At 40.4% G+C, this 15,464-nt stretch overlaps 1 protein-coding gene across 3 annotated transcripts in view, besides 1 other annotated feature; it reads right to left on the bottom strand.

Annotated features, from left to right (window-relative positions):
* GLRX3 (glutaredoxin 3) overlaps window positions 1-15,464 on the bottom strand; it is a 43,987-nt gene that overhangs the window by 479 nt on the left and 28,044 nt on the right. For 2 of the 3 annotated variants that reach the window (NM_001321980.2, NM_006541.5), the window contains 7 exons: window positions 13,220-13,392; window positions 12,919-12,980; window positions 10,409-10,466; window positions 8,263-8,315; window positions 4,993-5,032; window positions 4,810-4,902; window positions 227-557 (listed from right to left, as the gene is read on the bottom strand). In NM_001321980.2, the coding sequence (NP_001308909.1) occupies window positions 507-557; window positions 4,810-4,902; window positions 4,993-5,032; window positions 8,263-8,315; window positions 10,409-10,466; window positions 12,919-12,980; window positions 13,220-13,392 (530 nt within the window). In that variant the 3' untranslated portion in view covers window positions 227-506. Of the gene's footprint in view, window positions 1-226; window positions 558-4,809; window positions 4,903-4,992; window positions 5,033-8,262; window positions 8,316-10,408; window positions 10,467-12,918; window positions 12,981-13,219; window positions 13,393-15,464 lie in introns of those variants that run through there. The other variant, NM_001199868.2, reaches the window with a different exon arrangement.
* Window positions 11,251-11,751: an enhancer, noted in NCBI's record as "H3K4me1 hESC enhancer chr10:131966412-131966912 (GRCh37/hg19 assembly coordinates)". NCBI's record gives its function as "activates a minimal SCP1, AML or CMV promoter by ChIP-STARR-seq in naive H9 embryonic stem cells {active_cell/tissue: H9 hESC(naive)}" and the evidence as "EXISTENCE:reporter gene assay evidence [ECO:0000049][PMID:30033119]".

Below are 15,464 nucleotides of genomic sequence, written 5' to 3'. Positions count from 1 at the left end.
GCAATGTAACCAGTGCCGAGCTCAGCAATGACATCAGAAACTAATTTCCGTTGTTTTTCCTAAGCTGTAAAGAGATCTTTCACCAGCGAGGGGAGCCATTGTGTTGGCAAAGGAGTTGTCCTAAATACTGTTGTGTACTGCATTCCGCCACAGTTCTCCATTTTCTGAAGACTGCCTTTCTTAACTGCTAGAAGATACTCATGTACTAAGAAAAAGAGATTTAAGGTGGGTTAATTATAGTAGCTGTATGTTTAATACTGCTGTAAAGATACACTTTTTTCATACAATTATTGTTAATAATTTGAAGATGTTTATTGCATTCTATTTTTGGTGGGAAAAAAATGTAACATACATTTATTTAGCACGACATTGTGAAATACACAAAACATGTAACTGAGAAAGCAGGAATTTTCTATTCCTAGTCCATTTCTGAGGACTAAATCATGAACTGCTCCCAATGTAATTAAATATTTCTTACAATAGTTGGGCACCAAGTTTAAGATTTATTAATTTTCTCCTCTCAGTATAGGCAGCAATTCACCATTTTCTTTCAGTTCCTAAAAATAAAAAACAACAATAATAATATGTATATGCATATATAAAAAGATGGAAACATCTAAACAATCACAGCTTGTATGTATATCTGAGAACCAAAAGAAACACCTATTGGATTAAAACTCCAGTCTCTTAACACTCTCAAACTAAATGAGCCATAAACCCTGAATACACTATCAGGTTAAAAAATTTAACAAGGTATTCTTGGCCAGGTGTGGTGGCTCACAAATGTAATCCCAGCACTTTGGGAGGCCGAGGTGGGCAGATCACTTGAGGCCAGGAGTTCAAGACCAGCCTGACCAACATGGTGAAATCTGTCTCTTAAAAAATAAATAAATAAGGCTGGGTGCAGTGGCTCATGCCTGTAATCCCAGCACGTTGGGAGGCCGAGGAGGGCAGATCACCTGAGGTCAGGAGTTGCAGAACAGCCTGGCCAACATGGTGAAACCCCGTCTCTACTAAAAATACAAAAATCAGTTGGGCATGGTGGCGGGCACCTGTAATCCCAGCTACTCAGGAGGCTGAGACAGGGAGAATCTCCTGAACCCGGGAGGTGGAGATTGTAGTGAGCCAAGATCGTGCCATTGCACTCCAGCCTGGGCTAGAGCGAGACTCCATCTCATTCATTCATTCATAAATAAATAAATGAAGTTAAGGTATCCTAAAACCAACAGATTGTTTAGTATTAGGAAACGCAGCAACTGGAGCCAATGAAGCCCCTATTTAAACTGTAGCAATAAATAAGGAAAATAAATCAAGTGACTTTCAAGGTTGAAGAATGAAGTAATGTGGCTGGGCGCAGTGGCTCACACCTATAATCCCAGCACTTTAAGAGGCCAAGGGGGCAGATCACTTGAAGTCAGGAGTTCAAGCCCAGCCTGGCCAACATGACAAAACCCATCTCTATTAAAAAAAAAATTAGCCAGGTGGGCATGGTGGCATGTGCCTGTAATTCTAGCTACTTAGGAGGCTGAGGCATGAAAATTGCTTGAACCCAGAAGGTGGAGGGTGCAGTGACCCAAGAGCCAAGATTGCACCACTGCACTCCAGCCTGGGTGACAGAGTGAGACTCTGTCTCGAAAAAAAGGAAGAAAAAAAAAGCAGTGTGACGTTAAAAGTCTACTCAAATATGATGCTTGTTCCCCTCCCGTTCTTCCACTCACAGAGAGGAATCAGGCTTTGCTATTGAAACCCAACCTGGCAACACATCTCTGCCTCAGGAAAAGCTAGAGTACCAGTAAGAGGGAAAGGCAGAAACCATTAAAAAGACCTAACAATTCAGAAACAGACATGGCATCAAAAGAGCTACCACCAGGTTGACTGGAACTGCAGTACAGGCGCCATGCTCCTTGTGCCTGTTTTTCAGATTTAAAATCTGGATTATAGACACCAAGCTTGAAAGGACAGACATGATAAATAAGATTTTCTGGTTTAAAGAAACATTTAGTATGATATAACATTTCAGGTTATCACTGAACAGCATAAACATCAATCAATAAAACCATTAAAATCCGTATGACCTCCTCTGGATGAAATTCAAATAGGAATGATGCTGTCACACAAAACCCAGACGGCTTTCAGTCATGTCTAGGGATCTTCTTCTACCTACTCAACAAGCAGACACCCTGCCCCTCCAAGGGACCCAGCAGGACTTTTCTGAGCACACACTCAAGAAGGCACGGAGAGGACCACGCAGCTGAGTGGGCAAGGGCAGGTGGCCCTCAGGTGGAATCTGGACTCAATGGCTTACTAGTTATGGGATGGTGGACAATTCACCTGACCTCTCTATGTCTCTGTTTCCTCATCTACTGACTAAGAAGAATTCTGCTCTCTGAGGCTGCTTGGGAGATTACGTGAAGCAGCCTCTTAAAGCACCAAAGCAGTGTGCCTGGAACATTGGGAGCGCGCCAAATAAGGCAGTCCTCGCCACCCTCACTGCTGTTAATGCGAGCCGGCAGGTGGAAAGTCTAAACCTAACCAAATCTTCTATCTCTCTCAACAAACTGTCTTAAGTCCAAACATTCTGGAACAGCAGTAGTGAACCGTTTACTCTTCAGAGGCAATAACAACTCACAATTTTCTCAGGACACTAGATTAGCTGAGTAACTAAATCATCATTCAGTCCCTCATTCAACAAAACAAACGCTCATTGCTCCAAAGAGGCCAGCCAGATTAGACCATTTCAAACATCTTTTAATTGAACTGAACATGAAGAACTGCATTCTGCAAGAAACAGATCAAAATGGGATCGTAAGATCTATTCCATATATCTTCTCAAGGAAAAACGTTAACAATATCACACATTTCAAACGTATATGTTCTTAGCAGGTGAACATAAAAAATCATATAACACTCTGTTATATAACTAAAAAGAAGTTACCCACGCAGCTTAGCTTTAGAATTAAATGAGATTTATTGATTGTATCTTCCCAAGAGTTACCAATGGCTAAGGTACAGGCTATAAAACATTCAGACAAGAACAGGCTCAAGAGTATTTGGGGTTTGAGTATTCTTTGTGTCTTACAAAAATAAGACTATATATATATATATAGAGAGAGAGAGAGAGAGAAAGAGGGAGGGAGGGAGGGAGGGAAGGAGGGAGGGAGGGAAGAAACAAATGCAGATCTGTTTCTGCTGCTTCAGGGCTATTCAAGAGCAATAGTCTTAAAAATTTTTTCCTCCAGGAGTGAGACCATTCCCCAGGAAAAATGTCTCACTGGCTTGTTTAAGAAGTATGATATCAAACCTGGAACTCCACAGGAAACAAAACCTACACAGAGGCCACCAAAGGACAAAAAGAGCCTCTGCATCAATGGAACTCAAGCTTTGTTTTTATAAAACATATTGGTCCAAAGTGCTGATGTCATTTCAGTGGTAGGCTAGTGCTTCACTTTACAAAAGCACGTGTTAAAAACTTTTATTTTGGCCAGGCGCGGTGACTCATGCCTGTAATCCCAGCACTTTGGGAGGCCAAGGTGGGCGGATCACCTGGGGTCAGCAGTTCAAGACCAGCCTGGCCAACATGGTGAAACCCCATCTCTACTAAAAATACAAAAATTAGTGGGGCGTGGTGGCGGGTGCCTGTAATCCCAGCTACTCAGGAGGCTGAGGCAGGAGAATCACATGAACCTGGGAGGCAGAGGCTGCAGTGAGCCGAGATTGCACCATTGCACTCCAGTGGGGAACAAGAGCGAAACTCTCTCAAAAAAAAATGTAAAAAAAAAAAAAAAACTTTTATTTTACAACATAACTAGAAGTAGTACTACTTGCTATTTGTTTTCCACATAAAAAGTCGAAGATCTGACCTCAGAAAATTCTCTCATGGATTGAGGCAAGAGGAAGGCCTGAGGGCAGTCAGCAACCCACTTTTCGGGGCAGTTTTGTTCATGCCCCTGAGCAGACCCTGGCATTCCTGCCCAGCATTCCTGTCTAGCTCCTCTCTATACCCAACCAGCTACCACCCTCCTCGATGCCACCATGCCCACAGTGGGCCTGGGGTGCAGTGGGGTCTGTGTGTAGATATTAAAGCTACAGCTTCTGTTTATTGTTTTGGGCTAATCAAAGAGCTACAGAGCACACAGGTGTTAGTTGGTGGGCCTGCCCTGAATTCTAGACATTAAATACATGCAAAGTAACGTCCATTTAAAACTCAATCAAGAAGTAAAGTCACTTATCCATCCAACAACCATTTACTGAACTCCTAAAATACACAAAGCATCAGGAAGGACTCAAGATACATAAGAAATGGTGTCTTATCTAAAACACAATCTAACAGATAACAGATTTCCAAGCATCTCAAAACCAAAAAGGACCTACATTTTTTCTTTCGGGGGACCAGGGGCAGTGATCCTCAGCCTCTGTGGCAAGGATGGGCAGCACCGGGCCACAGGCCTCACACTGCTGTCACTCCATGCACCCAAGGGCAGATGAGTAAGGCAAGAAAAAACAATTTGTTGTCTGGGAGCTGAAGCAGGATCTAACAAGGACCCTGAGTGACAGGGAAGATCACCCCACAGAAAGGAGATGCAATGGTTAGCTCAGGTGTGAAAGTAAGAACAGGCTGCCACGTGGGGACAGTGAGAATGGCAGGGTAGTCATGCACACAGAAACGGTGATACTGGTCTAGAAATGTCTGAGAGTCAGGCTGGAAACAGGAGTCAAAAACAACTCTCAAGTTTCCATTCAATATGAAATCATTTTTAAACATACCAAAATCTTTTCCGTTCTTTAGAACAGCAGAAGAACTGGCCTTACCTTCACAATATCCAATCCTCCCACCAGCTCCCCTTTCACATACAGCTGAGGGTATGTTGGCCAATTTGAGTAAGCTTTTAATCCTTGCCGAACCTAAAGAAACAACAGGAATCCTGAAACCATCCTATCAGGCCCTTAAGATTAAAGCTAAGACAAGGGTGAAACATCAAACACAGAACTTACTTCTTCATCCTCCAATATATCGAATGTTTCATATTCAACACTGCAAAAAAGAGAAGACATTTTAACTGGAAATACAGTTAAATCAAAGTGTAAAACCTCTATGCATTTGATGTTTTTAAAATAATCAAGAAAACCGTTTCACTGCTAACAAAATGTACTACAGACCAATGGAAATGATTTTACTTCTTAATCTGTCTGGTACTACACAGAATTAGTCATTCCAACATATGACTTTATCTGGATTTTTCTCCGGACAATATTGGGTTAGACCAGGGGTGGGCAAACTTCTTCTTAAAGAGTCAGACACTAAACACTTCAGGCTTTACAGGCCAGACAGTCTCTGCTGCAACTGCTCAGTTCTGCTCTCTGCTGCAACTGTCAGCATAAAAGCAGCCACAGACAATGTATAAATGAAGGGATGTGGCTATGTGCCAATATAACTTTATTTACAAAAATGGGCAGCCAGCTGCAACTTGCCAACCCCTGGATCAGACCCACACCCCCATCTGCACGAGCCTTCATTAACTGAACACTCTTACCCACTTCTAATGTCTAACCCACCCCAGGCTGCTGCTTCTTAACCTCCTGGAAGCTGCCCGTGCAGCAGGATGTAGTAGTGCTCGTGGACGGAGGCTGGAGGGCTCAGCAGCCGGATAACAACCACGCTGCCAGCTCCCTCCACCTTAGCAAGAGACATGCTTTCCACACTTAAACTTATTTCAGAGAGGGTGCTGTTTTTAATGTACAAAAGGCCAATGAAAGCTTTGTGGCTTTATACCATACAATGAACATTACTTGTACAAAAAATGAAAAATCACTGCATGAATATCCAACTGTATCCACTCAGAGCGATTTCACCGTTAGGTGGTCAGGTATTAGCAAGCATGTATGCCTAAATCCTTGCAGGGTGCCTGAGGGTACAGGTGCAATTCCCAAAGGTGGCCAAAGAAAATGCTACATGTAAAAAAAACTGGACTTTCCATAAAACTGAAACCATCATAGGGAAATCTTGTTTATTTAGTAAACAAGTTCCCAAGGAAACTGTCTATGGTACAGGGAACAGTCAAAAAAACTAAATGACGGGATAAATCAGAAGCAATTACCAAAAAAGGAATGTTTGAAAGAAGAACAAAAAAAGACCCCAATGTAAACCTAATGCTTTTTAAAAACCCCAATGTAAGTCTTTGTTCAAGTTGAACTAAAGGTGGCAGATCTCTTAATACTGTGATAAAAACAATGAGTTATACAACTATTCATAAAGGATCCAGGAAGCACTGGGCCCAAGTGTATGTATGTGGAGTCCTAACAGCCAGTATACTTCCTAAAAGTTATTCATAAAGGGTACCTTTCAAACCTCAATATACACTTGGTTCTCAACCACTCATGCATGTGTATTTTGGCTACTAAAGGAAAAGATAAGAAATGAGAAAAAGTAAAAAGGAGTTTTCTCCACATACATTTGGCGCCCAGCAAGAGCATGGTCTGCTCGTGTTAAGCGAAGCTGAGGTCCTGGATGGCCTCACTCATCCTAGGGCCAATCACGCTTAGCAAGTCCAGAGCTGGGAGGTCATGCTCTCCCAAAGCATCCTCCTGCTCTCTGCGACAACAGGGTGCTTTCAATACAATGGAGATTAGACAGATATGGGACAGAAAGCCAAGTTACCAAGATGTTCCACCAAAGACACGAGCTGAGTCAGGCCCAGTGTGTCGGCTCAGAAGACACCTGAGGAACCTGGTACTGCTAGAGAGGGATGGACTGTGTGTGTCTCACTGTGGACCCGCAGCAGAGGGTCGACAAAGAAAGGGGAAAATCAAAAATGACCAAAAACAAGCCAGCCCCCACTGTATGGCCCAGGGCAGGGGTGAAGAAAGGAACAGGCTTGAAGTTACAATTACAATAAACTGACTATACTTGCTTCTATAAAATGTCATAGTAATCTAAAGACGACAACCACATCTTTTTTTTGAGACAGAGTCTCACTGTCACCCAGGTTGGAGTGCAGTGGCGTGGTTTCAGCTCACTGAAACCTCCACCTCCTGGGCTCAAGTGATTCTCCAGGCCTCAGCCTCCTGAGTGGCTGGGATTATAGGCGTGCGCCACCGCACCCGGCTAATTTTTGTATTTTTAGTAGAGGCGGGGTTTCACCATGTTCGCCAAGCTGGTCTCGAACTCCTGACCTCAAGTGATCCACTCACCTCAGCCTCCCAAAGTGCTGGGATTACAGGTGTGAGCCACTGTGCCTGGCCCTATATTCTTTTTATGTCCCTGAAATTGTATTCAACCTGTACTATTTAACTATTTTCAATAGATCTTTGAAGTATATCAAAGATTACTTGAAAGTAATTTATTTGAAGCTACAGTTAGAATACATGATTTTTAAAAGATACAATCATGAAATGAGAAATAAACAAAAATATCTGACAAACCCTATAGAACATGTGCTGTATATCTCCAAATAAGTGCTTTTGTTTTTAACCACAAAAATCAATGGCAATGTTCTTACCTGACAGCTTCACCACTGAGCACATCAAAACTAGGAGCACTGCAATTTAACTTGTGCTACCTCTCAGATCCAGGTAATGGACCTTAATATGTGCCCCTCAGCTTTCTGTACTGTTTAGCAACTAGGATATTTGAGAAAAATTAAAAACTACCTATAATATATTCCCCTGAAATATCTTTATGCATGGTGAGGACTCAGTTATACATTTTCCTCTGGGAAAGTAGACAAATAGTTATTCCAAAGGTGGCCTAAAGACCTCCTTTATGTTACTAATAGGTTGACACTGGCCAGAAAATACTATTTTGATCTAAGTTAAGGCATTCACAAAACAATACAGCAAAAAATAAAGAAAGATACAGATATGTATGGATATAGACATTACAACTGAAAAGTATCAGTGGCAGAACTGAAAAGTTGAAATATTTTTTTCTTTTTTTTGAGACAGGGTCTTGCTCTGTCACCCAGGCTGAGTGCAGTGGTGCAATCACGGCTCACTACAGCCTCACCTTCCAAGACTCCAGTGATCCTCCCACCTCAGTCTCTCAAGTAGCTAGGACCATAGATGTATGTGACCATGCCTGGCTAATTTTTTTATTTTTTGTGGCGATGGGGTCTCACTATGTTGTCCAGGCTGGTCTCGAACACCTGGGCTCAAGCAATATTCCTGTCTTAGCCTCCCAAAGTGCTAGGATTATAGACGTGAGCCACTACGCCTGGCCAGGTTGGAATTTTTTTAATACACCATTTGAAAACAACATTTACATACCCAGTACTATTTAGTATTTCCAGAATTTGTTTGCTGAATCCACATTTTGCTTCCTAAATGAAAAAAAATTTGCAAAGATTACAATTTTTGTATGACCCAAGCAGCATGGTTGTACCTAATACTCTTGTCAACCAGCACAGCACTTGTCCAGCATAGCTGCCACTACTTTCACTCAGCTCCCAGAGCTTCTGCTCATCCCCTCTTCAAGTACGAACCCATCTACACATCAACCCAGGCACACGTGACCCACAGACTTCCTTTTCCTTTGGTTTGTAACCACTTGAGATGACATGTGTTCCAACAGTTTATATTCTCTGTGGTCAAAAAGTTCCTCTAAGTGAAACCGAGATTTTCTACAGAGATTTGAGTTCATTGTTTAATTCACTCATGCAAAATGATCTTAACTCACTTAGCCTTTTTGCAATGATTATGACAATTATTTTCCCATTTCCAACTGGATTCTGACTCCCATTTTTCTTTTTATTTTATTTATTTATTTATTTATTTATTTATTTTTTGAGACAGAGTCTCACTCTGTCCCCAGGCTGGAGTGTGATCTCGGCTCACTGCAATGTCCACCTCCCAGGTTCAAGCGATTCTCCTGCCTCAGCCTCCCGAGTAGCTGGGACTATAGGCATGCGCCACCACGCCCAGCAAACTTTTTGTATTTTTAGTAAAGATGGGGTTTCACCATGTTAGCCAGGATGGTCTCGATCTCTTGACCTCGGACCTGCCTTGGCCTCCCAAAGTGCTGGGATTACAGGCATGAGCTACCGCATCCAGCCTCATTTATTTTTACATTACAGAATACTAACACTTTTTTGAGTTTATGAAAATCTTAAGCTTTTTTCATGCCACAGGACTCCAAATTCCAGCAATCTTGTGGAAAAGATATGGTACCATGTCAACATTTTAATAGCCCCAATAACATTGTTTCCAAAATGTATTAATACTTTCTAGGTTTCCAGAAAAAAATAGTTTTGAGAATAAATATCCACTTAAACCATTACCGAGAATAAGAAAAAATGTCACTTTATCATTACTAGGAATTATTAACTTCCTCTATTGTTTCAATACACTGAACCAAAATCAAAGAATTTAGGCCCTAACCTAATGTTTCCAACATGCTGAAATTTATATTAACATTTTCTTTGTTACTGTTACTTTCATTATTACCTAATTATATTAACCAGTTATGTTAACTAATTAGCTTCATTATACTAGTTATGTTAACTTATACACTAGTTATGGCAACCAGAGTCTGCCCTGTGAAGTATTGTGTCCCTTTCCCAATGAGCAAAGTGGTTCTCCATGTCACTTGCCCGGTGCATCTTGCTAACAAGTGAGGCAGTTTCTTTATTCCAACAGCCTCACCTTTCAAAACTTTGGTTTCTTTATCTCTAAAACAGGCCAAAGTCTGTCCAACCCTGCCTACTTCAACAACTGATTGAGAATTAAGTAGAGGTTCAATTGCTATGAAAATTACAAAATATGATATAAATGTGTATGGCTGGTTTCTGGAAATTACCACTCTGATCTCAATCTGAAAGAAAATTAGTTCTGCTCAAACTATCGGTGGAAGTAATCTATCAAACTTGATATTCAAAATGACGCATAATCAATATGTACTTACATCAAAAAGCTGTAAGAACCATCCCATTAAAAATGAGAATTGCTGACCATTTCACTCATTCATCAAACACACAGAGCACACCTGCTACAGCCAGGGTTTGCTCCTCCACTGTCACAAAAGGACGATCTAGGGGTGCAAACCCAAGCACGACCAGGTTCCCTGCATTCAGGAAGTCCACTGACTCAGCTGCACACTTCAGCAGTCCACAAACTCAAACAAAGGATAATGACATAACAACTCATACAACCAGTAAAGTGTTAACAGTGTTGACCACATTAGCTGACAAAGTTTGGCAGCAGAAAGAAATGCACCCCACTGAGATGTTGATGATAAAGTCAAGCAAAATGTAGATTACTTTGTTTGATCTCCGTAAGCACCAATTAAGGCGTGGATAACTTCCTGATATCGCTACAGCTTCATTAGCTAAAGCTAGGAAAAAGATTTAACTGTCCCCTTGTTGCAGATGTTAACATCAAAAGAAATTACAAATAAAACCATTTTTGAGTTCTTTACCTGTTTGTTTCCTTTCATAAAGAGCATCACAGAAGCTTTATTTGTCAGCACTTTGAGCCTAAAGAGAGAAAATTGATATAAAACGGCTCAGCTCAATTATGCAACACCACTTTTCCTCCGCTTCGTGAGTAACATGCATATTTGAGGGATGGCAGGATGACAGTTCACAGCTTTGAGTGGTATTAAACAAGCAAATGCGTTGACATTTTCCTTGATTTCATTCTCTCCCTAAGCCACTGTAAAACACAATATGGCTTTTAAGGCAACGAATGTTCCTTCAAGTTGCAATTTAAGCCCATCAACTCACAGTAATAAAAAAATAATAATAATAACCAATTCAGTAAGGAATTGTTCAATAAGGGGCCTATATATTAAGCCCATCCAAAACTTCCAGAACTAGATCTTGTGTGCACCATCTTCCATCATGATGCTGCATACCACTGTACACGTGTAAAGCTCACAAGGTCGGACTGCAGGGTGACAGCGTTAAACCTCAGAACATCAACTAATGCCAGATACTAAAATCAAATTCTCTCATCTTAACATGTTTTATATTTTATATAGTCTTTCAAACATCATAATCTAACATGCTGTCAGGAATTTTAATTATCTGTATACAGCCACAAGTTTAGTCACAAATCTCAAGAAAAGTCAGTGCTGGGACAACGGGTCACTAAAGAACCTAAGCCCCATGGGGTCACGCCACCATGTTCTCCCAATTCACAGCTCAAAAATCTCCTTAGAGGTTGGGCGCGGTGGCTCACGCCTGTAATCCCAGCACTTTGGGAGGCTGAGGCAGGTGGATCACGAGGTCAGGAGATCAAGACCATCCTGGCAAAACACGGTGAAACCCCGTCTCCACTAAAAAGTACAAAAGAATTAGCCGGACGTGGTGGCGGACGCCTGTGGTCACGGCTACCCGGGAGGCTGAGGCAGGAGAATGGTGTGAACCCGGGAGGCGGAGCTTGCAGTGAGCCAAGATAGCACCACTGCACTCCAGCCTGGGCTACAGAGCCAGAGTCCGTCTCAAAAAAAAATAATAATAAATATCCTTATAAACTCATCCCAAATGAAATGCATCAATCACGCACAAAGCTGTATCACTTACATTGCCAACCGAGTGGGATTAGCTCAAGTTCAGAAAAATATGAACAGATATAGGAATACAATGCTGACCCTGACAACCCAACTAACTAACCCAGTCACCTGGATACAGGGAACCACAGCTCACAAAGTACTGCCAAAATACATGTCACAAGTCCATGAACTCCACTTCCTACACTCTGCTCACTCGGAGCCCTTTAAATTATTACTCCAAATATGCTGAATTTTCCTTCCGACATAATTCTAGCCCGTTACCCTTTGGTGTCTGCAAGCACAGATTTAGAAGCAGCACATTAGGAAACGGAGGTCTGATGGAGACAAGGCCATTAACAGCGGCAAGTGCACTCAGCAGAGAAGGAAAATCAACTGAAGAGCAAATACAAGCATATAAAAAACACAGCTGTCTTTGGAGACCACACAGCCTCCATGGGCCAAGGGCATCACCAGGCTACAGGCAAGAACCACACATGAAGACGCCCAGAGTCAAAAAAGGGATGAGGAGTATCATTTTCTCATGAAGAACACAGGAAATGGTACCAACCACAGGACAGAATGCGGCACTCAAAGATCAGCCTGACATACGTGGATTGGACGCTGTTTATAGAAATTATTAATTAACGACAGACAAATGAGGTATTTATTATTATTAAACACTTTTAGAAATTCTCAAGATGTTACATGGCAAAAAAAAATTACCAAAGGAAGGTTTATCTTACAATCTCCAGCCCCAACTATGAATGGCTGATTGCTGATATAATAAATTCCTTTTTAAAGTTCTATATTAATTTTACTGCAATAAAAATCCCATTAAGTTGCCTTACACACCAAAGTCCAACATTTCTGTAAGAGAACGTCTCTAAAAGCCAAGTGAGATCCTTGATAAAACAAATACATGTTTCACACCTCCAAAATCTGTTCATGTAAGTTCTCGTGGTCTAGAAAGGCCATGAGAAGTGCTCAAAGCTTGTTGCGAGGTGATGAGTTTTTCACACTCACCACTTGTCACTCAGTGCTCTGGCGTTGGGGCAGCACCCGCAGCAGTCACCAAGGCTGCACCCAGTAAAACACGAGTGTGCTGAGGTTACGCCAAGGAGCAGTGACAAAACAACTGGACCCTGGCTCTGAAATGCAGAGAGGTAAGCAAAACTTGGTTGTTCCACAGAAACAATGACATTTCTATAAAAGCAAAGCAGATCCTCCACATGATCACTAAGTTGGTGCTAAAATTTCTCCAATACAAATTAGATTTGCCAAAGTTTGAATGGCTAATGTGACTAAACAATTATGACGTCTGGCATACCAAATCCTTGATTTCTACACAGAAAGAGCAATGCAAAACCTGAGGACTTTAAAATATTTTTAATATATTAAATGATAGGCTATTTGAAACCTTCTAAAACACTTACCTTTCCTCTAATTTGGGAGCTTTGGGACAAATTGTATCTAGTTCTTCAGATGCTTCTAGCTCCTAAAATAAGCACACATACCAGTTTTATGAAAAAAATTATTATAACATAAATCTCCTTGATCATACCATAACACAGATTATTGATCAATCAACTAATCAGAAATACTGTGTATTCATTGCAGGTTCTTATTAGTAAATATAGATTCATAAGAAATTTGTATCTTAGATTTATCACAACATTTTAAAAAGTATGCTCTAAATGGAATTTCTTTACAAAGCACAGACTTCTCAATTCTAACCTTAATTATATCAAGTCCTCCTATGAGCTCTCCAGAAACATAGAGCTGAGGATAGGTAGGCCAACTGGAATAGGCTTTGAGTCCCTGTCGAACCTCTTCATCTGAGAAGATATCAAAACTGCTAAACTGAATATTATGTTTGTGAAGAATTTCCACCATCTGCTTGCTGAAACCTGTACACAAAAAAAGAAATAAAGCACTTAACTTCTCTCTCCCAAAACACATACACATGATAATACATTAGTTCAGCGTACATATCATCTAAAAGACATAGACGCCTGCCTTATTTTGCTGGTGATTTAATTAGCATGGCTGAATAATATACAAAGAGAAAATAAATTCCTGGATCCCCTTATTTGACCTTGAACCATATCACACACTCAGATATGACTTAACTTTTTGACACAACTGTGACTACTGAAAAAAAAAAAAAAAGTGGTGTGTGTATTTATTAAAGTTATTCTTCAATATCATGGACATTTTTTGTCACAGGAGAAATAGCACTAGCCAAAAAGCAGAGACCTGGGGGTGATGGTGCACACCTGTAATCCCAGAGACTGGGGAAACTGAGGCAACAGGCTCACTTGAGCCCAGAAGTCTGAGGCTGGAGCGACCTATGAGATTGTCACTGCACTCCAGCCTCCAGTTTGAGTGATAAAGCAAGACCTTGTCTTTAAACAAAACCAGAAATCTGAATCTGACACCTGCTCCCTCCACCCACCAAGGTGACACATGATGAGGCCATGGGTGGCCTCCGCTCAGCACTTTCCTACTAATCAGGAGACTGACCTGATGCTCTGACAGTCCCTCCCAGCCTTTCTGTTATGAATCTATGAGAATCAATTCTGGGCAGATGAAAAAATTCTACAATTGTTATTTTTAACTACTACTTGACTATACTTAAAACCCAATGCTGTTGCATTTCTACTGCCATTTTACTACTTCCTGAGTTCCCACTTCAGTAGTTCTCAATCTTCACTATCTCTAAGTAGGATAAATTAGAAATCAAGAAGGCATGTGTTCTCCTGTAGTCTAAAATACACACAGTACATTGAATTTTAAAGCTATCTTCTCTGTTGTTATATATGAACCATCAATAGATTGACGGTATTCTTTCTCATCTCATGTCATAACTTGACAGTTTCTTTTTTAAAACTATTTACATTCCCTAAAGTATGTAATGTAATTTTTTTACTACACTATAGCGACAATTTTATGTTCCATGATTTTATTATACTTTTGTGACACATTTTTATTCTGTACTTTTTTGACATCATCTTATTATGACATTATAACTGAAGAATAAGAGTGTGAATATCAGTCTTTTATAAACCTATTAGCCTAGTCTGAAAAAAAAAGTATTTTTCTTTCCATAAGCTAATTCTTCTCCATTGTTCCCAATACTATGTAGGGCCCTACTCTTTCACGCCTCATTCTTCTTCTCAAACACAGTTGTAATTCACTGGAAAAGAACCTATTCTTCAGATTCAAAATTTCTATAAGACTTAGCAGTGTCAGCAATTGTTTTTAAATAAAATCAAACCATAAAATTCAATATAAGATTAATTGCAAGAATGGGCTTTACTGATGTCACCCAAAATCATATTTACTATTAAAACATGGATCTACAAGTGAGCTCTAAACATTTTCCAAATCTGCAGTTTATTGAGATGAAGCACTAGTATTTATTTGTATAGCATATAAGTTGCTTTTCCTACATCTGAAGTGTTAAGTTCATGTACAGCCTGAAGTAAAACACTGATTCTGAAATTTTTTTATTCATCTGGGAGTTCATTAGTAAACAGCTAACGGCTGATTGCTGATGGTTATTCTGTTGCCAATATATTAACTCATTTTTACTGTAACTGGCTGAGAAGAAGCTTTATTTTAGCTTTAGGCAATTACATGCAGACTAGAAAGATTGATTGGTAGTGTTTCATTTTTAAGAGTTAAAGTGGCAGACTAGAAATGTTACGCTTAAGGATAAGATGGCAAGAAGGCTTTATTCTAGTAACAAAATATTTACACACCTTTTTTTAAGAAAAATGCATGCATGCAATAAAAATATTTAAATGTAGAAAAGTAATGTTTAACTGCCACAGAATCCCCATTTCCACCCCCAGTCATTTCTACTCATGACATGAATAGGTGCCTAACACCGCATCTCATCACTACCTAACAATAAACCCTAAAAAACATCTCTGAAACCTGATTCTGTGGCTGATTCAAAAGTAAGAGCCCGGCT

The sequence above is a fragment of the Homo sapiens genome, chromosome 10 (genome assembly GCF_000001405.40).
Source record: "Homo sapiens chromosome 10, GRCh38.p14 Primary Assembly".
Lineage (NCBI taxonomy): Eukaryota > Metazoa > Chordata > Mammalia > Primates > Hominidae > Homo > Homo sapiens.
This window is presented reverse-complemented; position numbering and strand designations above follow the sequence as displayed.